The following is a 21420-nucleotide window of genomic DNA, read 5'->3' as shown; positions in this document are numbered from 1 at the left end:
CTTAATGCAGAACGAGGGGCTCACAGAAGTAAGTATTTGAAGAATGGGGAATGAGGGTTGGGAGCTACAGGTTAGGAAAGCCACCGCTGATCAGAGTAGGTAATAATGAAGACGTTAGCCCAAAGCTCCAAGCAGGTTCTTTTCAGAGGCTTTCCCGGAGCTGCTATAATACTTGAGAATCTTTAAAAACTACCACCAACTGTCTCAGGCAAAGTGGATTATTCTCAAAATTTTGCTAGAAAGCCACTGTGAATTTCATCTTTCCAAGCATCAAGCTGCAAACACCTCTGAAAAGACTGATGGCTTCCTCTTCATTTCCTTCTTCTGACTCTCCAGCAAATTTTTCTCATTGGCAAACTCTGACCCAGAACCACACAGGTAAGTGGATTCTGAAAAATGTAATTCCCAGCCTTACAAAAAGTGGCAGTGGTGTCCTGGGCCCAAAAGTGAGAAAACAAACACCAGACATGCTAAAAGGTCTGCATCTGATTGCTCTTCCATCTTTCCATTTTTTCTGTACCATGATCCATTTTGGTATATGAATCGAGAGAGATGATCACAAAACCAAATCCTTCTACAGATATCACAAGAAAAGTGTATCTGGATGCTTAATAAAAACAAAGTTAAATTACAATACATGAATAGTTGGGGAAGTGGGTAACAACAACAAGGAATACACATATAATTAAAAGATTTGCCTCAGAGACCCAAATAATTGCAAGTTACCTGGGGTTATAAAGTTTCCTTTTTCCTGCTATCTCATATTTTACCTCAGACATTTCATTTGACTTTCAGAAAACAAGTTATTTTAATTTGAACATGACCATCTTAAATCATATACATTTACAAAGGCTCATTTTTTTTCTTTTAAGTAGAAAGATTGAGCATTCCTAAGCCATATCTAACCTGTAAGATAAAGTAAGACGCAATCAGAATAAAAGTATTGCTACATATGCTAAGGACTCTTTAAGTATTAACATCCAATGTCAGAATTAAAGAGTTTTTAATTTATCATTTTATATTTACTAAAAGGTAGTTTTAATAGATTACTTAGGAGAACATAATATAAACCAAAAATAAAATTTAAAGCCTCCCAAACAATGGAAAGAACTCTTCTCGAGTAATTGAATTCCAAAGTAAACCTGAAACATTGGTTCAGGACATCATGGGAATGGATGATCGGACATGCCTCATTATACCCTCATCCCTTTGTAATTCAGGCACAACCCATCAGCATTAACATCAAAACAGAGACCTTAAGAATAACAAAGCAGACTTTTTGTAGCAATAAGATAGCAACATGACAGATAACAGGCCCTGAAAGAAATTATTTTACCCTAAAATATATTTTTTGACATATTTTGAAATGTCCCCGCAAAGCTGTCTCTTTTGGGGAAAATCTACATTCTGTAGAGAATCCCACCCTTTTCCAGGTCTTTTTCCTGATCCAGGAGAGAATAAACTAAGAGTTTGGCACCTTTTTAAGCCTGATAGGAAACATTTGCAATCTCTTCTCTCTGAAGCCTCCTACCTGGAAGCCTCATCTGCATAGTAAGAACCCCCTGGTCTCCACAACCCCTTATTTTAACCCAGACACTCCCTTCTGTTGATTCTGGGTCTTTAGATAAACCAATTGCCAATCAGAAAATTCTTGAATCCACCTATTATGTCTCCCTAAAACATATAAAACCCAGCTGTAGCCCGACATCCTTGGGCACGTGTTCTCAGCATCTCCTGGGGCCATGTCACAGGCCATGATGACTCATTTTGCTCCGAATAAATATCTTCAAATATTTTACACAGTTTGACTCTTTTCATCAACAATAAGATGCTTCACTATGTTTTATGTTACCAGAAATTCAGAAATATAAATGCAAAATAAATGTTAACACTTAGTGTATACTTAAATTCTTCAGCTTTTGTGAAAATAAGAGTATTGTACAAATATTCTTCAGCTTTTGTGAAAATAGCATTGTAGATACAAATGAATACTTTTTAAACTTAGTAATTGGAATTAAAATACTATGAAAATAGATACATTTTTATATCAGTTTGACAACTTTGCTTAATATACAATTGTATGAGAAGAAAACAAATTCAGTTTCTTCCCAGTATATTCTCACAACACAACAATCAACACAGAAGGTTTCTGTGACATCTGGTCACCAAGAAGTTTGTGGGGGAGTTCTCCCCAATAACTAATCAATTCTGCAGCAAACATCAGCTGGATGTCCTCTTAATTCAATGCAGTTCTGACACTATCTACCTGTAGTAGCATCAGATGCCACAGGTTGAGGTCACTGTCCCCCAATTCCTCAGACTTACCCCTTCAGATGCCAATCACATGCCCGAGGTTGTTTTACCTGTGCTTCTGACTGGCCAGCTATAAATTAGAGTTCCCACTATCTCCTCCTCTCAGGCTTGATTAATTTGCTAGAACGGCTCACAGAACACAGTGAAACACGTTTACTGCTTTATTATAAAGGATGTAACAAAGGACACAGGTGAAGAGATGTGTAGGGCAAAGCATGTGGGAAGGGGTGCAGAGGTTCTATGCCCTCTCCAGGAACCTCTGTGTATTCAGCTATCTGAAAGCTCATCTGAACATTGTCCTTGGGCTTTTATGGTGACTTCATTACGTAGGCATGATTGAGTGAATCATTATCCATTGGTGATTGACTTAACCTTCAGCCTCTCGCCTTCCCTGGAGGTTGGAGGGGCTGGGCTGAAATGCTTAAAGCTATCTTGGTCTTTCCTATGACCGGCCTCCTATGACCTGGCTATCCAGGAGTCCCCAGCCATTGGTCAACTCATTAGCATACAAAAAGACTCTTATCACTTTGGACATTATAATGATTTTAGGAGTATATATCAGGAATGGGATGAAAACCAAATATATATTTCAAAATATCACAACCACATAGCAATTTTATCAATAGTCTTATTAAATTGATTTTCAATATAAACTTTTTATGGTTGAAAAGTAATAATTGCTTAAAGACTTTTTCTGAGATACCTAAACTAATGCAGTCATGCACGACATAATGAATGACGTTTCAGCTAATCACAAACTGTATATATGATGGTAGTCCCCTGAGACTATATTACCATATTTTTCTGTACCTTTTCCATGTTTAGATCTACAAATACTTACCATTGTGCTACAATTATCTACAGTATTCGAATACAGTAACATGTTGTAAAGATTTGTAGCCTAGGAGCAGTAGGCTGTACCATACAGCGCAGGTGTAGTAGGCTATACCACCTAAGTTTGTGTAAATACATTCTACGAGGTTAGTACAAAGACACAATTGCCTAATGATGCATTTCTCAGAACATATACCCTTCATTAAGTGATGCATGAGTGTACATTAAATTTTTCATAAACATTTTTTAGATCTACATCAAGAATCTCAATAAAATTAAAATATTAATCAATACACTATCCATTTATAATTGACTTAATGGACCTGTATATGTTAATAATGAAGAAATGCTGTGGTTTACAAATTTTATGTAAAATCGTCCTTATGAAAGCTAATGACTCATGGAAATGAAAGTAATGTTTAGAATATAATGTGAGTTTAGAAAAGCAAGTAATTTGATAAATTGATGGCAAGAGATTTAATTTTTGGCTTATGTCTTGGTGATATTTCACATCAATTAATTTAAACATACTTTATTCACAGTCTATTTGGAAAATACTTTGAAAATAATGAGTGTTTAAAAATTAAGCAAAAGTACTTGAAAATGTGTAACTTTCAATATTTATCTTATAATTTTATTTATTTATTAGGAATAAGGTCTTGCTATGTTGCCCAGGCTAGAGTGTAGTGTCTATTCACACTGAATTCTTATAAAGAATTCAGACTATAGACTTTGCTTAGTTAATATATTTGACTGTTTTGTGTTTATTCATGCTAACATTGAAATGAAATACACGATAGTATTTAAAATTTCAGGTTAAAACTATTTGGGGATATTTGGAACCCATAATGACAATATAGACATATTGTATGTATTTTTTCAATTTTATAAAAAATCCATCACAATTATGTAATTTTTGATGGACTTACGTGCTACAGTTTAAACCAAGCATATTTATATTAATCAAATTAATATAAAATTTTGCCTTTATGCCACTTAATAATTTGTTTATGACTTATAATATGCATGCCAGTTACTTCTAAAATGAGGTGCAGTGGCCTAAATATTAAACAACATGTCAAATAGGGGGAGAAATACAATACAGAAAACCTAAAAGAAGATATACTGTACTGCGTATCTAAAATGTTATTAACTGTAAATAAGAAATAAATAATAAACATTATAAGATTCTGCTATTTTTAAAAGAGAAGAATGGCTATTTGTTCACAGAAAGCAAAGTAGGGAATCTAAGTGGAGCTTGTTAATCAATGTTTATCTGCAGCTGATGTTTCCTCAATCACTATTTGCAAAAGATACTGGAAATATCAACTCAATTCTTGTTTGTAGAAAAAAAAGTCTGACAAAATTCCTAAAGATTGCATAAGTCAGGTGGTTGCAGTTTTCTGTACCTGTAATCTCAGCTACTTGGGAGGCTGAGGCAAGAGGATCACTTGAGCCCAGGAGTTGAAAGTCTGTATTGAGTGAGTATTCTACCTGTGAATACTGATGAATCGCTACTGCATTCTAGCCTGGGCAACGTAGACCCCATCTCTTAAAAAAATTGCTTAAGTCTTAATACATTTTCCTTCTCTGATGAAGTAGATGAGATATTTATAAACAGCAGTAAAGCAAGTGTGCTAAAATCACTAATATGTAATGTTGAATAAGAAATAAGACTTATTCTCAGATGACTTCTATTTTTCACAGAACTCAGCCCTTAATTTCAGAAAACAGGCTGCACAAACTGACCTGTTTACAATTCTTGTCAAGTTTATTTCCTCCAGTTTTCAGTTTGCCTCACAAGGACCTCATCATGTAACACTTAAACTCTTTGATGATGTTGAAAATATGGGCAGCATCCTTGACACTCTATTTCCTTTAAACAGTCATGGCTTGTAATGGCCAGGACAAGTTTGCAGCAGACAGATATGTTGGATTGCTACCTATCCCTGGCAATGAAGAGTGGGAAACTACCCTCAGTTTTCCTAATTTTCTATCTTTTTTCTAACAGCCCCACTTTAGTGGAAACTGCCTCCCCTTTTCCAGGTGGGAGCCATCGAGTTAAGGTTTTTTTTTTTCTTCCTTTGATTCAACTCAATAGACATGGTGGTTAATTAAAAAGATACAGCATTCAAGACAAGAAGTGAGGCTGGGTTTAATGGGAGCCAGGAAGCAATCAAGAGACTCATTCTTTTCTCTTTCTGGACCTGCATGGATTGTCTCTTCTTGGCCTCTCTGTAAATCTTTAATTCTCTTTGCCCATTGCTGTTCTTTATTGATTTTCCTCAGGATTCAATGTAGCCAGCAGATCAATGTGATGATCTTTCTGTTCCAATTACTGCCACCCATTGACTAGAAGACATGACATTTAGTTCAAAAGTCTTGGCTGAGAAAAATCTCACAGAAATTGGTACCACTGGATGGGCGTGAACCAGTGACCATCCCTAGGCAATCAGCCCAGATCAGGGCCAGCAGAATCATGGCAGATGGAATTGGCTGTTTGCTAAGTTATGGTGAAGCTCATTATATTAGTTCATTTTCACACTGCTGATAAAGACGTACCTAAGACTGGGCAATTTACAAAAGAAAGAGGTTTAATGGACTCACAGTTCCACGTGGCTGAGGAGGTGTCACAGTCATGACCAAAGGTGTCTCACATGGCGGGAGACAAGAGAATGAGACCCAAGTGAAAGGGGTTTCCCCTTATAAAACTACCAGATCTCTTGAGACGTATTCACTACCATGAGAACAGTATGGGGGAAATCATCCCCATGATTCAATTATCTCCCACTGGATCCCTCCCATAACACAAGGGAGTTATGGGAGCTACAATTCAAGATGAGATTTGGATAGGGACACAGCCAAACCATATCATTCATGTTCTGAGTTGGGAAGGCAACAGTTCTAAATTCAGAAAGTTCTCAGAGCTTGGTTGTCAAAGATTTTCAATTTTTGCTTTATTTATTGAAGGCAGGTAAACTAAAACTACTATGGACAAATATTTCTGTCAAAAGACTGCTAGGTATGATAACCTCTTCACTCAGCATCCACTTTATTTTCATAATTATTCAATAGCACACCATAAAAATCAGAAGTGCTTTCCTGAGTGGAAGTAGATCAATTATGTGATTATCAATTAAATAAATTAAGTGGGGATAATTAGAAGAAAGAAAACCAAAATGTATTGAGCGTGATGCTAGGGATTTTAATTAACAATCTTTCAGACAATCAAGTTTTTGAGAGAAAAGATTTCTCTCTATTTTACAGATGACAACACCAAAGCCTAGAGAACTCCAATTGTTTCCTAAATACCCTGCTGCTTACACTTTGCCGTGATTGTATTTGAATGCATATCTGACACCAAGGCCTATTAACTACATGCTATCATCTATTTTTAGAAAAAGCCAAGAATGTTTAATGGCTCAAGATCACTTGATAATTTATTAAAGATATTTCTTTCCGCTTTTCAATCCACATTATGGGTTAATAAAAATATGCCTGTTAAAATGAGGTATTTAATTTATTTGTTGGACAAAAATATTTTGAAAAAAACTCACTTCAAGAAGAATTTGAGAATTACCAGTTTGTTTTGTTCTAGCTGTGGATATACATTTGTATGTGGAGAGGTGTCTGCGAAGAGCACCATGTAGAAATAGAACTGGAGGCAGGACAGCTGCAGGACACATTGCTGTGAGGCTTCAGAGTCAGGTGCACCTGGATTTTAATTCGATCCCAGATCCTGGCTCTAACTCACCACAGTTGTGTGTACTCGCACAGAGAACTTTACCTCCTTCTATACGTGAATTCCCTCATTTGTAAAATGGGGATAAAAAATATTTACATCATAAGAGTACTGTGTAATTTTAAATTTAAAATGAGATTATTATTGATATGCTGTGGCTCTGTGTGTGTCCCTATCCAAATTTCATCTCAAATTGTAATCCCCACTTGTCGAGGGAGGGACTTGGTAGAAGGTGGTTGGATCATGAAGGTGGTTTCCCCATGATGTTCTCGTCATAGTGAGTGAGTTCTCACGAGATCGAATGGTTTAAAAGTGTGGCACTTCCCCCACCCCGTCCTCTCCTGCTGCTGTGTGAAGAACGTGCTTGCTTCTCCTCCGCCTTTCGTCATGATTTTAAGTTTCCCGAGTCCTCTCAGCCATATGGAACTGTGAGTCAGTTAAACCTCTTTCTTTATAAATTAGCCAGTCTCACGTAGTTCTTCAGAGTGGTGTGAAAATGGGCTAATATAATTGCAAATAATTTTTCACAATGGTTGTTATCTAAATCCCCAACACATGCATTTTGTTATTTTTTGTTGTTGCTAAAGATGAATCAGTCATACCAGCTGAAGAAATGACAGGAAGACTTCTCTGTTTGGATTTTAGAGTTTTCCAATGATTACTATATGTTGGTAATTTTGTTCACTGATTAACTTTAAAAAGCACTAATTAAGATGTGAGATTAAAAACAAAATATGCAAACATGAACTTTAAATAAGCTCTGGCATACAAGTAGTGAGAACCAGACTAAGAAGGCTAAAGGTAGCTGGCATATAATGACTCAAATTGAGAGCTGAATGCGTGCCAAGCTGTGTTCTAAGTAGTTAACCAGGGTTAAGTTGATTCCCCTCCGTATTCACCTGTGTAGTTCTTTGGACTCTAGCCATCAGCCTCCAAAAAAGACCCTTTTGAACTTAGTGGGCCCTCGGCACTTTTGTCTTCACAGACCCCTCTCTCCATTTAAAAATATCAAAAAGTATATTTTATAACTGGGTTGATATAAAGATGAATACGTTAATATCATATATTAAAATAGTTTATTTGACCTAAAAGTTTTTTAATACTGATTTTAAAAGACATGAAACATTTTTGTGGGCCTTTAAAAATACTGTGGGCCATAGCCGATGTACCTCCCCCGCTGATCAAAATGGGGCCCTTCCTGGCAAGAGTATTGTAGTCTTAAGCATACCAGTTCAGAGACTACAGTACTCTTATCAACGGCCACTGCAGATGCTTTGAGAAAATAAAAGAAACGGAGGACAAAGCAGGTGGCATTCCAATTTATTTTTTTATTGTAAGGACAGACTTATACATCATTGTTGAAAGAATTTTAACCTGTTTTAAACTTCTGTAAAATTGTTTCTACTGCCAGATGAAATTAGCTTATTTTGCCTGCAGATGGTGCTAGATCCTCAGTTCCCAGGTAACACATTTTGATAAGAGAAAATATTAAATATTTAAGGCAAACATGACATTTTTCAAAAATAAAATTCTTCATAATTAATATGACATCAGTTTTTCCTGTGAGCCTAGAGTCTTAGTTATACCTGATAATCTCCAATAATTATAGCCACTTGTCTGAGAGCAGTTAAAAATTCTCATTGTGCTTGTAAAAGATACTACTTTCCTTCGAAGATTTGGTGACTTAACTGAATCCGTCTGAGATTAAAATTTCTCTGAGTAATATTAGGTTGGGCAGAAAACATTTTTTACTTCCTGTATACATTGAACTTGGAAAAAAACTGTGAAGATAGCCAGTACTTTCAAATATTTCAAGATTATGCCTTTTCCCCTGTCACTGAGAAATAGTAAGTCAATATGTAGCACACCCTGACAGAAAATAAAGTCTTTGTAAGGGATAATGTTTTCTTAAATATGCTTCTTCAGACAAAAACCATAAGTTTGTCTGAAGTAAGTGGATTTCTCCCAACTATATATCTGGACATGACTGTATCTAGAGAGTCTTTGATTAGAGACACTATGAGCTTAAGAACAATAATGAAACTTACTGGACATACACATTATAGTGAGAATTATCCCAATTTATTTTCTAATTTCATAGATGATATACAGGTGATGATAGATTAGACAAATAGGTATAGATACAATGTATATAAAGTAGATTCTATTATCAAACTTTAATCTTCCTCACCAAGGAATTGGTTATAATCCTCGATAATATGGTCAAGCGATATTGTTAGGGTCTAGTTTGGTTTCGTCTAAGATCTCAAGATAATCATCTGTACTTCCTTCAGTGTTTTGTTTTAATGCTGCCCAAGCTAAGAGGTTCCTTTCTTTGTTGAGGGCTCTGATTACTAAATGAAAGGAAATTCTTACGGCTTGTGTATGTGTCTTTAGGCACCAAGACCTGTCAATTATTTTTTGTGGACAACTTTGATGCTTCCTCCTACATTAGTTAATGGAGATGGTGACTGTGTGATACTTCATCTCCCTGATCTGTCTGCCTATTACATCAGCATTCTCTGATGATGCATTCTCACTGCTGGCTGATATTTTCTGAGGACTGTAGGAGGGGAGGATATTAGTTTTCAACCCTCTTCTTGTGAAAATAATCAATTATTCCTTGGGTTTTGACCTGAGATCTATCTCCCCATATCAAAGAGTCAAGCCATTTCCAGTGTAATGCCATAAAATACCCCGGCTGCAGCATTACAGATGAAGTAAATTAAACATTACAGACAAATATATTCTGACCACTCATTTCTAATAGTGATTGGCCTACATAGAAGACTTGAAGGATACTGGCTGGTTCAATCCAGGAAAATATTGCAAGGCAGCAACAGAGTTTGGTTTAACATGTGGGTACTTACATAAATCACAGGCAAATATTTTGAAAAATATACTTTTATTTTATTTTCATTTCTATAAAAGAAAAAATAACTAGAGGAAATGGAATTTTGTGCTACCAGAACAAAACCTAAATTGCTCACTTTGAGGGTTGTCTCTGGGCTGTCTGCCTGGCTCTGTGTGTGGAGCAAGGGTGAGATTTTTCTAGATCCATAGGGCTGAACCAAGAGGAGCAATGAACTAGAGAGGACAGAAGGTAGTTTCCAGTTAATGATCAAGTCCTGATGCATAATATGTTCAAAAAAACTTCCAGTCTTAGATTTGCACTAGAAAGGAAGAGGGTGACAAGGAATTTGTTGTTTTTTCTTCTCAAATGAGAGAACAGAGATCTCAGACAGAGTAATACCTGTCAGCACTGCTTGAGTGACTTATCTTCCAGCCACCGTTAAACCGAACAAGGAAATTTATATATCTCATTGTTTTGAGCACTATTGTTGTCTTCCAAGTGGGTAAATATTGAGTGTCCACCAAAATGCCAAAATTCATTTCTAACCTTTGTGGGTAGGCAGATTACAGGCTCTGCCAGTACCTGTTAGTAAGCAGCAGTGAGACAACTTGCTAGAAAAAGAATGTTAGATTTCCCCACCATCAGGGAATACTAAAATGATGAGCATGGTTAAAAATAAATGAGTAACCAGTTTTTAGCTTCTAATAGAACACTCATGCTGAAAATACACATGTAAGATTTTAACTAATTAGGCCTCAAGCTCTTTTTAAAAGCCACATTGCAATTAATTAAAATGACTGCTACTTATTTTTTAAAAAAACAAGGTAAATTTTTTATTATACCTACCAAACTGTCAGAGAAAGTAAACATGCTTAAACTCCCATATTACAGTTTTTGTTCTGAAATAGATAAACTATACAATCAACTTTATTTCTTTTTTCTCAAATTTATTTTTAATTGACATAAAAGTATATGTATTTGCCATGTATAACACGATTTGTAGTATATATATGTTGTGAAATGGTTAAATCTAGCTAACTAGTGAATGCATTACTTCATATAGTTGTATTTATGGTGAGAACACATAACATCCACCTTCTTAGCTTTTTTCTTATTTTTAAGTTGCTCATTTGAGTTGAAGTTGGCCTGAATACTTCAGCTAATATTGAACAATAATTGAATTAGATTAACAAATACAAATTAAAATCAAGATGTGTAACCTTTGAGGACCAAACTTGAGTTATTTCCCCTTTAAGAGCAGTGCTATAAAAGGAGACCGATCAGTGGAAATTTAGAAATAGCCATTTAAGAGAGACAATGCTTAGAGTAAAATTCTATCTCCAAAAACATTTATTGTAGCATGGTTTTTAATATTAAAATTTAAAAATAAATTATATGTGATAAATTAACAATTATAAAATAATAAAATGTTAAGTGATCATTAATAGAAAAATAGTTATATCATTATATTTCAAGCCATGAGATTTCTATATAGCCAATAAAACAATCATTAATGTAGAGCTATATCTTATATTGTATGAAGATGACTATGTTAGATGAAAAGATGAGAGAAATATTTCCAGACAATAAATATAGTATACTCCAATTTAAAAATGCATATGTTTTCATATGATGGGGCTCAGAAAACAGTATTTTAAAATGAAGGCCTCCGCAGCAGCCTCAGAGCAAAAGTTTTTTTCTGACCTTTTCCTGTTCCCCTGTCTCTCAGTCGTGTTCTCCCTGGAGGCTAGCCATAAAAACTAGAATCTCTCTTCCCCAAGGCAGGTCACAGAAATCAGAGCCCCTTTTCTCCAAAGCTAGTCATAAAACCTAATAATATTACTCTATTTTTCCCTTGCCTTTCTGTGTAAAAACTGGCCATAAAGAAATTGTCTGACATACCTTGTTTGACTGTAGATCATGAGACCCCCATTCTAGAGAGGGCTCTTCCTCACACCAAGGAGGGAATGCATGCTCAGAAGAATCTAGACAGCCAGAGTTTCCCCACTCAGCCCATTATCATTATATCTTGCCCTTTTTGTCCGATCATGTTTCTACATGGCTATCCATAACCTAAACATAAACATTGACAATTTCTTCTGTATCCTTGAGTCTTCTGAAAGCTCCCATGTATACATGTTAAATAAATTTGTATGCTTTTTCTTCTATAAATCTGCCTTTTGTGAGTTGATTTTTCAGAGAATCTTCCAAGAGCCTTTGGCCCCCACACATATATGTGAATACACATAAGTTTTTAGTATTATAGAAAATGTATAAAAAGACTGATACCAAATAATTAAGATTTGTTACCTCAGGGGAGTGGGATTGGGAGGTAAGGGGTGATTTAAGTAGATTTTATATATTACTTTATATGTATTTGTACTACTTAACATTTTTATAGTTATCTTAGTTTCATAATGTATCTTTTGCAGAATCTTCAATTAGCCTTAATGCAGCTTTTTGGAAATACCAATTTAGGGACTTTAAGAATAATATGAGTTGAAAATTAAAGAATCATTGCATTATTTTTCTTAATTCAAGAGGGGCAATAAAATTAATAAAAAAAGTTATGTGTATAAAATTTTAGTTGTATTTATAGTTATGCTCTTTTCAGAGTAAAAGATTCTGACATTTCATTATTGCAGATGTATTCAAGTTGCAAATTATGTATTTAAATTAAGGGAAATGGTCTACAGTCCCACCAGTGTTATTGTAAGATTAAAATTAATTACGCAGAATTTTTGTATCAGGCCAAACTGTACAGGTAATCAGTCATAAGCTAATGTTATTAGCTTGATTCATGTTATCAAACTGTATTTCTGATAACACCAGACAAGGGGGTGGTGGGGCAGAGAGATACTACATATCAAAATGATAAAACCAAGTTCTTTTGTTTGCATTAGTTTAAATATTTACAGGTTACATTTATGGCAGAGTTTAGACTTGAATAATTCAAGCAAAAAGCTCACATTTGCCTAAATTTGTGGGAGCAAATATACCATAAAATAATGTTTCCTACTTGTAAGTTTGTAGAGTGTCTTTTATGTACAAATTCTGAAACTTTTAAAGGACTGAGTTTGAGAGTTCAAATTGAATTAATGAACATTTTATTTTAAAGATAGAATTAAAATGCACTGTTCAGTTCATATAGGTAATTTGAGGTGCACAGGGAATGATGCAACTTTCCCAACAACTCACAAATCAGATGAAATGCAATGGTTAATTTTCAGTAAAAACTGGAGTTATCGAGAGGTCAGTCTCATATAGCTAGAGATTTGTTTTATTTTAGAAGATGGTGACTACCTTATTTTTTGAAAAAATTATGTGATTTTTATATATACAAAAGAAAAGAGTACTATATCTGTAAACTTATAAAGCATAACAAAATGGACACCCACAATTCAATCATCTAATTCAGAAATATGCCAAAGCCAATACAATTGTACTGATGACTTCTTTGCTTTTATTATAATCCTGCTGTATTTTATGTTAATCACCTGTGCTAGGCAACCTCTAAGATGGTCCTAAATGACCCCCACTTTCCAGTATTGACACCCTTATGTAATCTACTTCCCTACAGAGTGAACTAGACTTGTTAGAAGTGATTCACTTCTAACAAATACAATGAAACAAAAGTAGTGAATGCCACTGCTGATATTAGGTTATAAAATAATTGTAGCTTTCGTCTCTCTCTCTTTCTTCCTCTCTCTCTCTCCTTCTCACTTTCACTCCCTCTTTCTCTTGCTTGCTCTACGGAAAACCAGTTGCCATGATGTAAGTTTGAAGTTGTCCTATAAAAGGCCCACAAGGCAAGGGACTGAGGGAGCCTTCTAGCCAACAGGCAGGAGAAATGAGGCCCTCAGTCTAAACAGCCCTGAGAGAATAAAATCGGGTCAACAACCACATGAGTAACTTTCTAGTGGATCATACCCAGGTCTTATCTTAGAAAAGACCACAGCCGACACCCTCACTGCAAGCTCATGAGAGATCTTGAGCCAGAGGCACTCAGTTAAACCAATCCTGAGTTCTTGACCCAGAGGAATTGTGAGATAATAAATGTGTGTTGTTCTAAGCTACTACCTTCTGCAGTAATTTGTTCATCAGCAGTACATAACCAATACATTATCCTTGCCTTTTATAGTTCTCTTAAAGGATGCACAATGTATTAATTTCTGTTATATTGGAACTTTAAATTGTGTCACTAATTCTTTTAATTTTTGTGGGTACATAGTAGATGTATATGTTTATAGGGTACATGAGAGACTTATACAGGTTTCATAATGTGTAATAATCATATCAGGGTAAATAGGGTATCCATCACCTCAAGTTTTTATCCTTTCTTTGTGTTATAAACAATCCAATTATATTCTTTTAGTTATTTTTAAATGCATGATAAATTGTTGACTGTACTCTGTTGTGCTATCAAATACTAGATCTTATTCATACTATCTAACTATAGTTTTGTACTCATAAACATCCCTGCCTACCCCCCACCCCCATTACCTTCCCCAGTTTCTGGTAACCATCATTCTACTCTCTGTCTCAATAAGTTTAATTGTTTTGAATTTTAGCTCCTACAAATAAGTGAGAACATGCAACGTTTATCTTTCTGTGCCTGGCTTATTTCACTTAACATAATGACCTCCAGTTCCATCCACGTTGTTGCAAATGATAGGGTCTCATTTGTTAAGACTGAATAGTACTCCATTGTGTACATGTGCCATATTTTCTTCATTCATCTGTTAATGGAGACTTAGGTTGCTTCTTAATCTTGGCTATCGTGAACAGTGTTACAATAATAAACATAGGAATGGTTATTCTGCTTAAACTGTTCTCAATAGTGGTTGTATTAATTTACATTCCTACCAACAGTATACAAAGGTTCCTTTTTCTTCACCTTGTCATCAGCATTCATTATCGACTGTCTTTTGGATAAAAGGCGTTTTAACTGGGGTGAGATGATATCTCATTGTAGTTTTGATTTGCATTTCTCTGATGCTCGATGATGCTGATCACATTTTCATACACCTGTTTGCCAATAGCTTTGACTATTCTGGGTCTATTGTGGTCCCATATAAATTTTAGAATTATTTTTTCTATTTTTTAAGAATGCCATTGGTATTTTGATGGGGATTGCATTGAATCTATAACTTGTTTGTGGTAGTAGGGACATTTTAACAGTATTGATTCTTCTAATCCATGGAATATCTTTCCCCTTTTTTGGTGTTCTCTTTGATTTTGTTCATCGGTGTTTTATAGTTTTCAATATAGAGCGCTTTCACTTCTTTGGTTAAGTTTATTTCTAGGTATTTTATTTATAACATTATAAATATGACTACTTTCTTAATTTCTATTTCAGATTGTTCACTGTTGGCATATAGAGGTACTACAGATTTTTATGTTAATTTTTGTATCCTGCAACATTACTGAATTTGTTTAACAGTTCTAATAGTATTTTTTTTAATGGAGTCTTTGGGTTTAAAATATAAGATCATATTATCTGCAAAAAATAATTTGACTTCTTTCTAATTTGCATGCTCTTTCTTTCTCTTGTTGGATTCCTCTGGTTAGGACTTCTTTAATTCTTTATCCTGCAAATTTTTTGCTTGCCTAAGCTTGTAGTAATTTAAAATATGTTGAACTATGTCTTTATTATTTTATATTTGTCTACTTTTCCCTGTAGTTTTATCAAATTTTTCTTTCTATGCTTGAGGCCATTAAATTGGGTGCATACAAGTTTATAGTATGCTAGCTAAGCCTCTTAGACAGCATTGCATAGTGGTTAAGTTCAAGGACCCTGGAGCCAGATTGCTTTCTGGATTGAGTCCAGATTTCTCTCCTCATTGACTGTGTGACTGAGCAAATTGCTTAAGCTTCCTTCATCCATTGCCTTGTTTGAAAAGATGGAAAGGTAAATAGAAATAATACCTACCTAATAAAATTGAAATGAGAACTAAATAAGTTAATACTTATAAGCCTGCTTGTGTGCCTACAACAATGGTTGGCATGCATTTAACATTGTATAGCTGTTTCTAAATCAATAAATGTTCTGACCTCTTTATTCCTAATAATACTTTTGCTTAAAGGTTATTTTGATTGATATTGCTATAGCTACCCTGTTTTTTAAATAAAATATTTTTCTAATCTTTTTCTACTGTACTTTCAGCCTGTCTATCTTAGGTTTTATGTGTACCACATAAATTCAATTTCAACCTGAAATTCCTTTGTAAATACTAGGGTGGAAAGATATAATACCTATCCTTACCAATCATAAAAGTCACAGCCAATATTCCTATAACCAGACAGGTTAACAAGAGAAAAGCATAATAACTTTATTTAATCAAAGTTTTACATGACACAGGAGACTTCAGAAATGAAGACCCAAAGACCCAAGGACAACTGTCTATTTTTATATTTAGGTTCCATGAAAAATGAACAGGCATGTAGAAATGTAACTGGATAAAAGGGTTTCATCTAATATAAAAGGGTATAATCTAATGGTAACTGAAGGGGGAAACTCAACAAGTCCTGTCTGTTCAGATTCTTAAGCTCTCTGTGTAGCATTTCTTCTGAGTATTGGACAGCACTCCTCTGAAATGAGGATCTTCAAGGGAGAAATGAGAAGTGTGAATGACCCTTCTGGGTTTTATGGTTTGTGTGTGGGGAGAAGAGTTCTAGTTTCAATGATTCACTTTGAAGAAAAGGAAGTCTGATTTCTATGAATTGCTCAGGTGAATGAAGATGGGCTGGAGATAGGAGGATGGGAGAAGGTCAGAGAGACCTTCCTTCTGAGGTCCTTCTGAAGCCTTTCTGTTCAATGTGCTTAGCACACCAACACACCTTACTTTGGGTTATTGTATTCTGAGCATTCTATATTTCAACTGAAAATAATTAAATTATTGTGGTTAAAAATACATTTTGACTTATTTGCAACATTTTGTTTTGTGTTGCTTTTCTTTTGCTATTTTTTTCTCCTTTCTTGCTTTATTTTGGATTGATAGAGATGTTACGTTTGTTTGATTCTTGGTTCATCTTTTTTCTTTAACTGGCTTTTGGTTATTACCCTTGAAATTCTCATAACTAAGAAACTAAATGTAAATCACTGTTGATCTTCATTTCAAATATATGATTCACCAGTTTAACTCCTCTCAACTCTCTTGTAAGTTGCATCCTATTGTTATAATTTATATCCTAAATTAGAAACTATTGCTATTACTTTATACAGACAATATTTGCTTAAATTTAGTTAAGTGTTGTCCAATTTTCTTTTTTTTTTTTTATTTTTGCTTAAGGGTCAATTGTACCATCTATTTTTTTTTTTAATTTTTTTTTATTATACTTTTAGGGTACACGTGCACATTGTGCAGGTTAGTTACATACGTATGCATGTGCCATGCTGGTGTGCTGCACCCACTAACTTGTCATCTAGCATTAGTTATATCTCCCAATGCTATCCCTTCCCCCTCCCCCCTCCCCCCACCCCACAACAGTCCCCAGAGTGTGATATTCCCCTTCCTGTGTCCATGTGATCTCATTGTTCAATTCCCACCTATGAGTGAGAATATGCGGTGTTTGGTTTTTTGTTCTTGCGATAGTTTACTGAGAATGATGATTTCCAATTTCATCCATGTCCCTACAAAGGACATGAACTCATCATTTTTTATGGCTGCATAGTATTCCATGGTGTATATGTGCCACATTTTCTTAATCCAGTCTATCATTGTTGGACATTTGGGTTGGTTCCAAGTCTTTGCTATTGTGAATAATGAATGCTGCAATAAACATACGTATGCATGTGTCTTTATAGCAGCATGATTTATAGTCCTTTGGGTATATACCCAGTAATGGGATGGCTGGTTGTTGTCCAATTTTCTCACCATTCTTTCCTGACCCTTGACTTTGCGGAATTACTTTTCTTCCTCCTTAAGTATACCCATTTTGAAACTCCTTTAGTTAAAGTTTATTGATGATCATAACTTTGTTTTATCTTAAAATCTTACTATTATTCTTTCATATTTGAAAATAGTTTTGCTGGATACCTAATTCTAGGTCAATGGTTCTTTATTCCTATATATCCAAGTGATTATTCCATTGTCTACAGTTGAAAATTTCTGTTGTCAGTGTAATCATTGTTACCACCTTTTGTTGTAGCTATTTTCCATTCTTTTTTTGTTTGATTTTCTATAGTTTGACTTCAAGGCATCTGCATATCAATTATTTATATGCTCTATAATTATTGTGTTTCCTGTATCTGTGAATTCATACCATACCTATTCATAGGTTTGTTATAAAGATTAAATTAGTTATGTCCAGTGCCATGGCACATTGTAAATACTATGTATGTGTTCACCATTATTATTGAATAATTGTTACTTTTATTATAATCTCCTTTAATATTGCCCACCACCCCCATTATTTGTATTCTGTCCTCTAGAATGCTCCTTAGAAATATAAAACATTCGTTCATTCCAATCTTCATGTCAATTCACTAATCTTTCCTATTGTCTAAATCCTTCTCTCTCTGTGCTACTGGACAATTTCTTCAGACACTATCTTTTTAAGTTGTGTCTAATCTGCTGTTTAACCCATCTGCACTGGTGGTTAGCCATTTGAATGCACATGCCCACTTTCTCCCTGATGCTGTGCCCTGCATATTGATCTTTATAGAGTGCCTCTTCTAGACTCCCTAATGGGGACAGTACAAAAGGAGTCAGCAGCAGCAAATCTAAGGTCAGGGGGAGAAAGGCATCAGGGTGTTTAGTCCCTTCTCTCTCCCTGTCTTAGCAGAACACTTGCATTTTAATAGTTAGCATTTTACTTCTTTGTGAAGCTGGGATTTATTCTTTGATATATGAAAGATACAAAGGGTATTTTACCTCAACCAAGATGAAATAGAATTCTGAAGAATCAAGACCAATTCATAAATAAATAAATAAATAAATTTTGGTTCTTCTGAATATTGCCATGCTCATCATCACTGAGTATTCTATGTGAAATTGCTTCGGAAGTGTTAAAGATTAATAAATGAATTCTTTTCTACTCTAAGTAAGAGAGGCAGAGCAATTCTCTTTAGACATAGCACATCTGGTAACAGAATGGGTATTGTTGATTGAAGATGTGGAATCTGATTACAAAAAGGAAAAAAGTGTATAGATTGACATAATGTGATCAAAAGCTTTCAGAAAAGGAAAAAATACAGACAGGAAAAAAAAGTGAATTTTTGAGTGAATATATTAATTTCCCTTACATAGAGTTGGATAATAATCACAAAAAAGCATTGCTACTTAATATGGTTTGAATCTATGTCCCCACCCAAATCTCATATTGAAATATAATCCCCAGTGCTGGAAGTGGGGCCTGGTGGGAGGCGATTGGACAATGGGGGCCGCTTCTAATGGTTTAGCTCCATCTCCCTAGTGCTGTTCTTATAATAGAGATCTGGTTGTTTGAACGTGTATAGCACCTCCCTGCTTTCTGTCTTCCTCCTGCTCCGGCCATGTGAAGTGGTGGCTCTCCCTTGCCTTTCACTGTGACTGAAAGTTTCCTGAGGCCTTCCCAGAAGGTGCTATGCTTCCTGTACAGCCTGCAGGACTGTGAGCCAATTAAACCTCTTTTTTAAATAAATTACCCAGTCTCAGGTATAGCAGTACATGTGAAAACAGATGAATACACTACTTTTCCATACAGTTTAATTGTTTATTTACATGCAATTACTATAATATTAATATGTATGTAAGTATGGTTGAAAGAGCAGAGAGGTTGGCTTTATAGACAGAAAGGGGCTGAGGAAAGCAGAAACAGAATAAAAAGTCATTGGTCATTTCAAATTTATTTTCCTTATAAAGGTTAAACAGAGGGACTTTCTTATATCACAGCTAAAACTGGCTTGTTTGTGGATTTGGCTATTATCTCTCACTCTCCTGACTTCTTGAAAGGTCAGATAAACAACTTAGTTTTGGCTTAGTGGAACTTCAGCGTAAGGGACTAGTGTAGAAGCTCAGTCCAAACCAAATGGCCTTCTATAATTTTATTTTATGTATTTACTTTTTTAGAGACAGGATCTCCTTCTGTTGCCCAGACTAAAATGCAGTGGTGTGATCATGGCTCATTGCAGCCTCAAACTCCTGGGCTTAAGCAATCCTTTTGCCTCAGTCTCCTGATAAGGTGGGACCACAGATAAAAGACACAATGCCTGGCTAATTATTTTTTGTAAAGACGAGGCCTCCCTATGTTGCCTAGGCTGGTCTTGAACTCCTGGGCTCAAGCGATTCTCTGCTGGGATTATAGGTGTGAGCCACTGCACCCAATCTACCTTCCATAGATTTCACTTAAAACTTCCTCCCTTTTTGTCACACTCTCACTGAGAGTGTGATGAAACTTAGGTCATCAATGCTGCTCTCAGTCACCATAATTTTGGGTTTTGGTCTCAACATGTCTTGGGAAAAGCTGTCCACAACATGAAGTCATCAACTTCTCATCCTGGTTTACAGGTTGAATGTCTCTGGTTATTGTTAAATTATCTGTGTAGCTCACACATCAAACATGAGATCTGTCCTTGAAATTTACATCAAGTTGTCCAAACTCAATTTATAGGGCTTCAGGAACAGAGCAGTTCTTGTAGGGTTGTAACCAGATATTGGAGGAAATATAGTCAGATATTGGATGTAGCTAGATATTGGAGGAAAACAGAATTCAGGATCCACTCTAGTCTACAGGTAGATAAAAAAAACTCAAACAATAAGCACGGCTGCAATCTAATAACAGGTTCACTATAGTCTTTCTTCATCAATATAATTTTTCTCTTAACAGCGACGCCCCCACTTACACCAAAGATAATCCGAGTAAGACTAATTTTGTTTGCAAAATAAGTCTAGTCTCATGAAAATTGGCCTATTTAAGTGCACCAAGAATAGCAATTGAAAACATAGCCCTTTTATTTTTTCCAAGTTTGCTTTGCTAAACTTTTGATAAGCAATATCAGGCTGGACTTTTAAAGACCTCTTGAGGCTAGAAAGCCAAGCCAATGCATACTTGAGACTTTTCCTGCAGTACCTATAGATTCGTTCTATGTACATTCTGAAATATGGCATCCCAGTCCAAGGCTTGGAAATATAGTCAATATTACCAATTGTATTTTATTATAAAAGCATATTTTTTTGAATTTATGAACATATATTGCCATAAAATAAGAATACTCATGAATAGTTTCTGGATTTTGGAGGGATTAGATAGGAAAAAGTAAACGTTTCAATTTTTGATCACAAGGGTATACCTTACCAAATTGCTATAAGCTATAGATAGCTTTTTTAAAAGTTTCCTTAAATCTGAAAAACAAAATGTTAAAAGAACCAGCAATATTTAAAATTTTAAAAGCCATAAAAATCCGTATCTTTCCTCATAATTTTTTCATGTTTTCAAACTGAGACATGTTTAGCTTCTCTGTATCACATAAAAGCAAGATGCCAAAAGATGTATACTTTAAACTTAGATTCAGCAATTAATATTTCAGTTTAATTTAGAAATGACTTGAGTATTTCATGAATATCTATTACATATATTAGCATAACTTTAAGATTTCAAGTTATTGAAAAAGATGTTTGCCACTATGACAACTTTATTTATAAACTTTTATCCCATTTATATTAACCTAATTTACTTGTTGTTAACAATTATGCTT

General features: G+C 34.9%; 1 annotated feature.

Annotated features, from left to right (window-relative positions):
• Positions 922 to 1813: an enhancer, noted in NCBI's record as "OCT4-NANOG hESC enhancer chr7:12368624-12369515 (GRCh37/hg19 assembly coordinates)". NCBI's record gives its function as "activates a minimal SCP1, AML or CMV promoter by ChIP-STARR-seq in naive H9 embryonic stem cells {active_cell/tissue: H9 hESC(naive)}" and the evidence as "EXISTENCE:reporter gene assay evidence [ECO:0000049][PMID:30033119]".

This window comes from Homo sapiens, chromosome 7 (assembly GCF_000001405.40).
Source record: "Homo sapiens chromosome 7, GRCh38.p14 Primary Assembly".
NCBI lineage: Eukaryota > Metazoa > Chordata > Mammalia > Primates > Hominidae > Homo > Homo sapiens.
The sequence above is the reverse complement of the archived record's forward strand: the minus strand, read 5'-3'. Positions and strand labels throughout refer to the sequence as shown.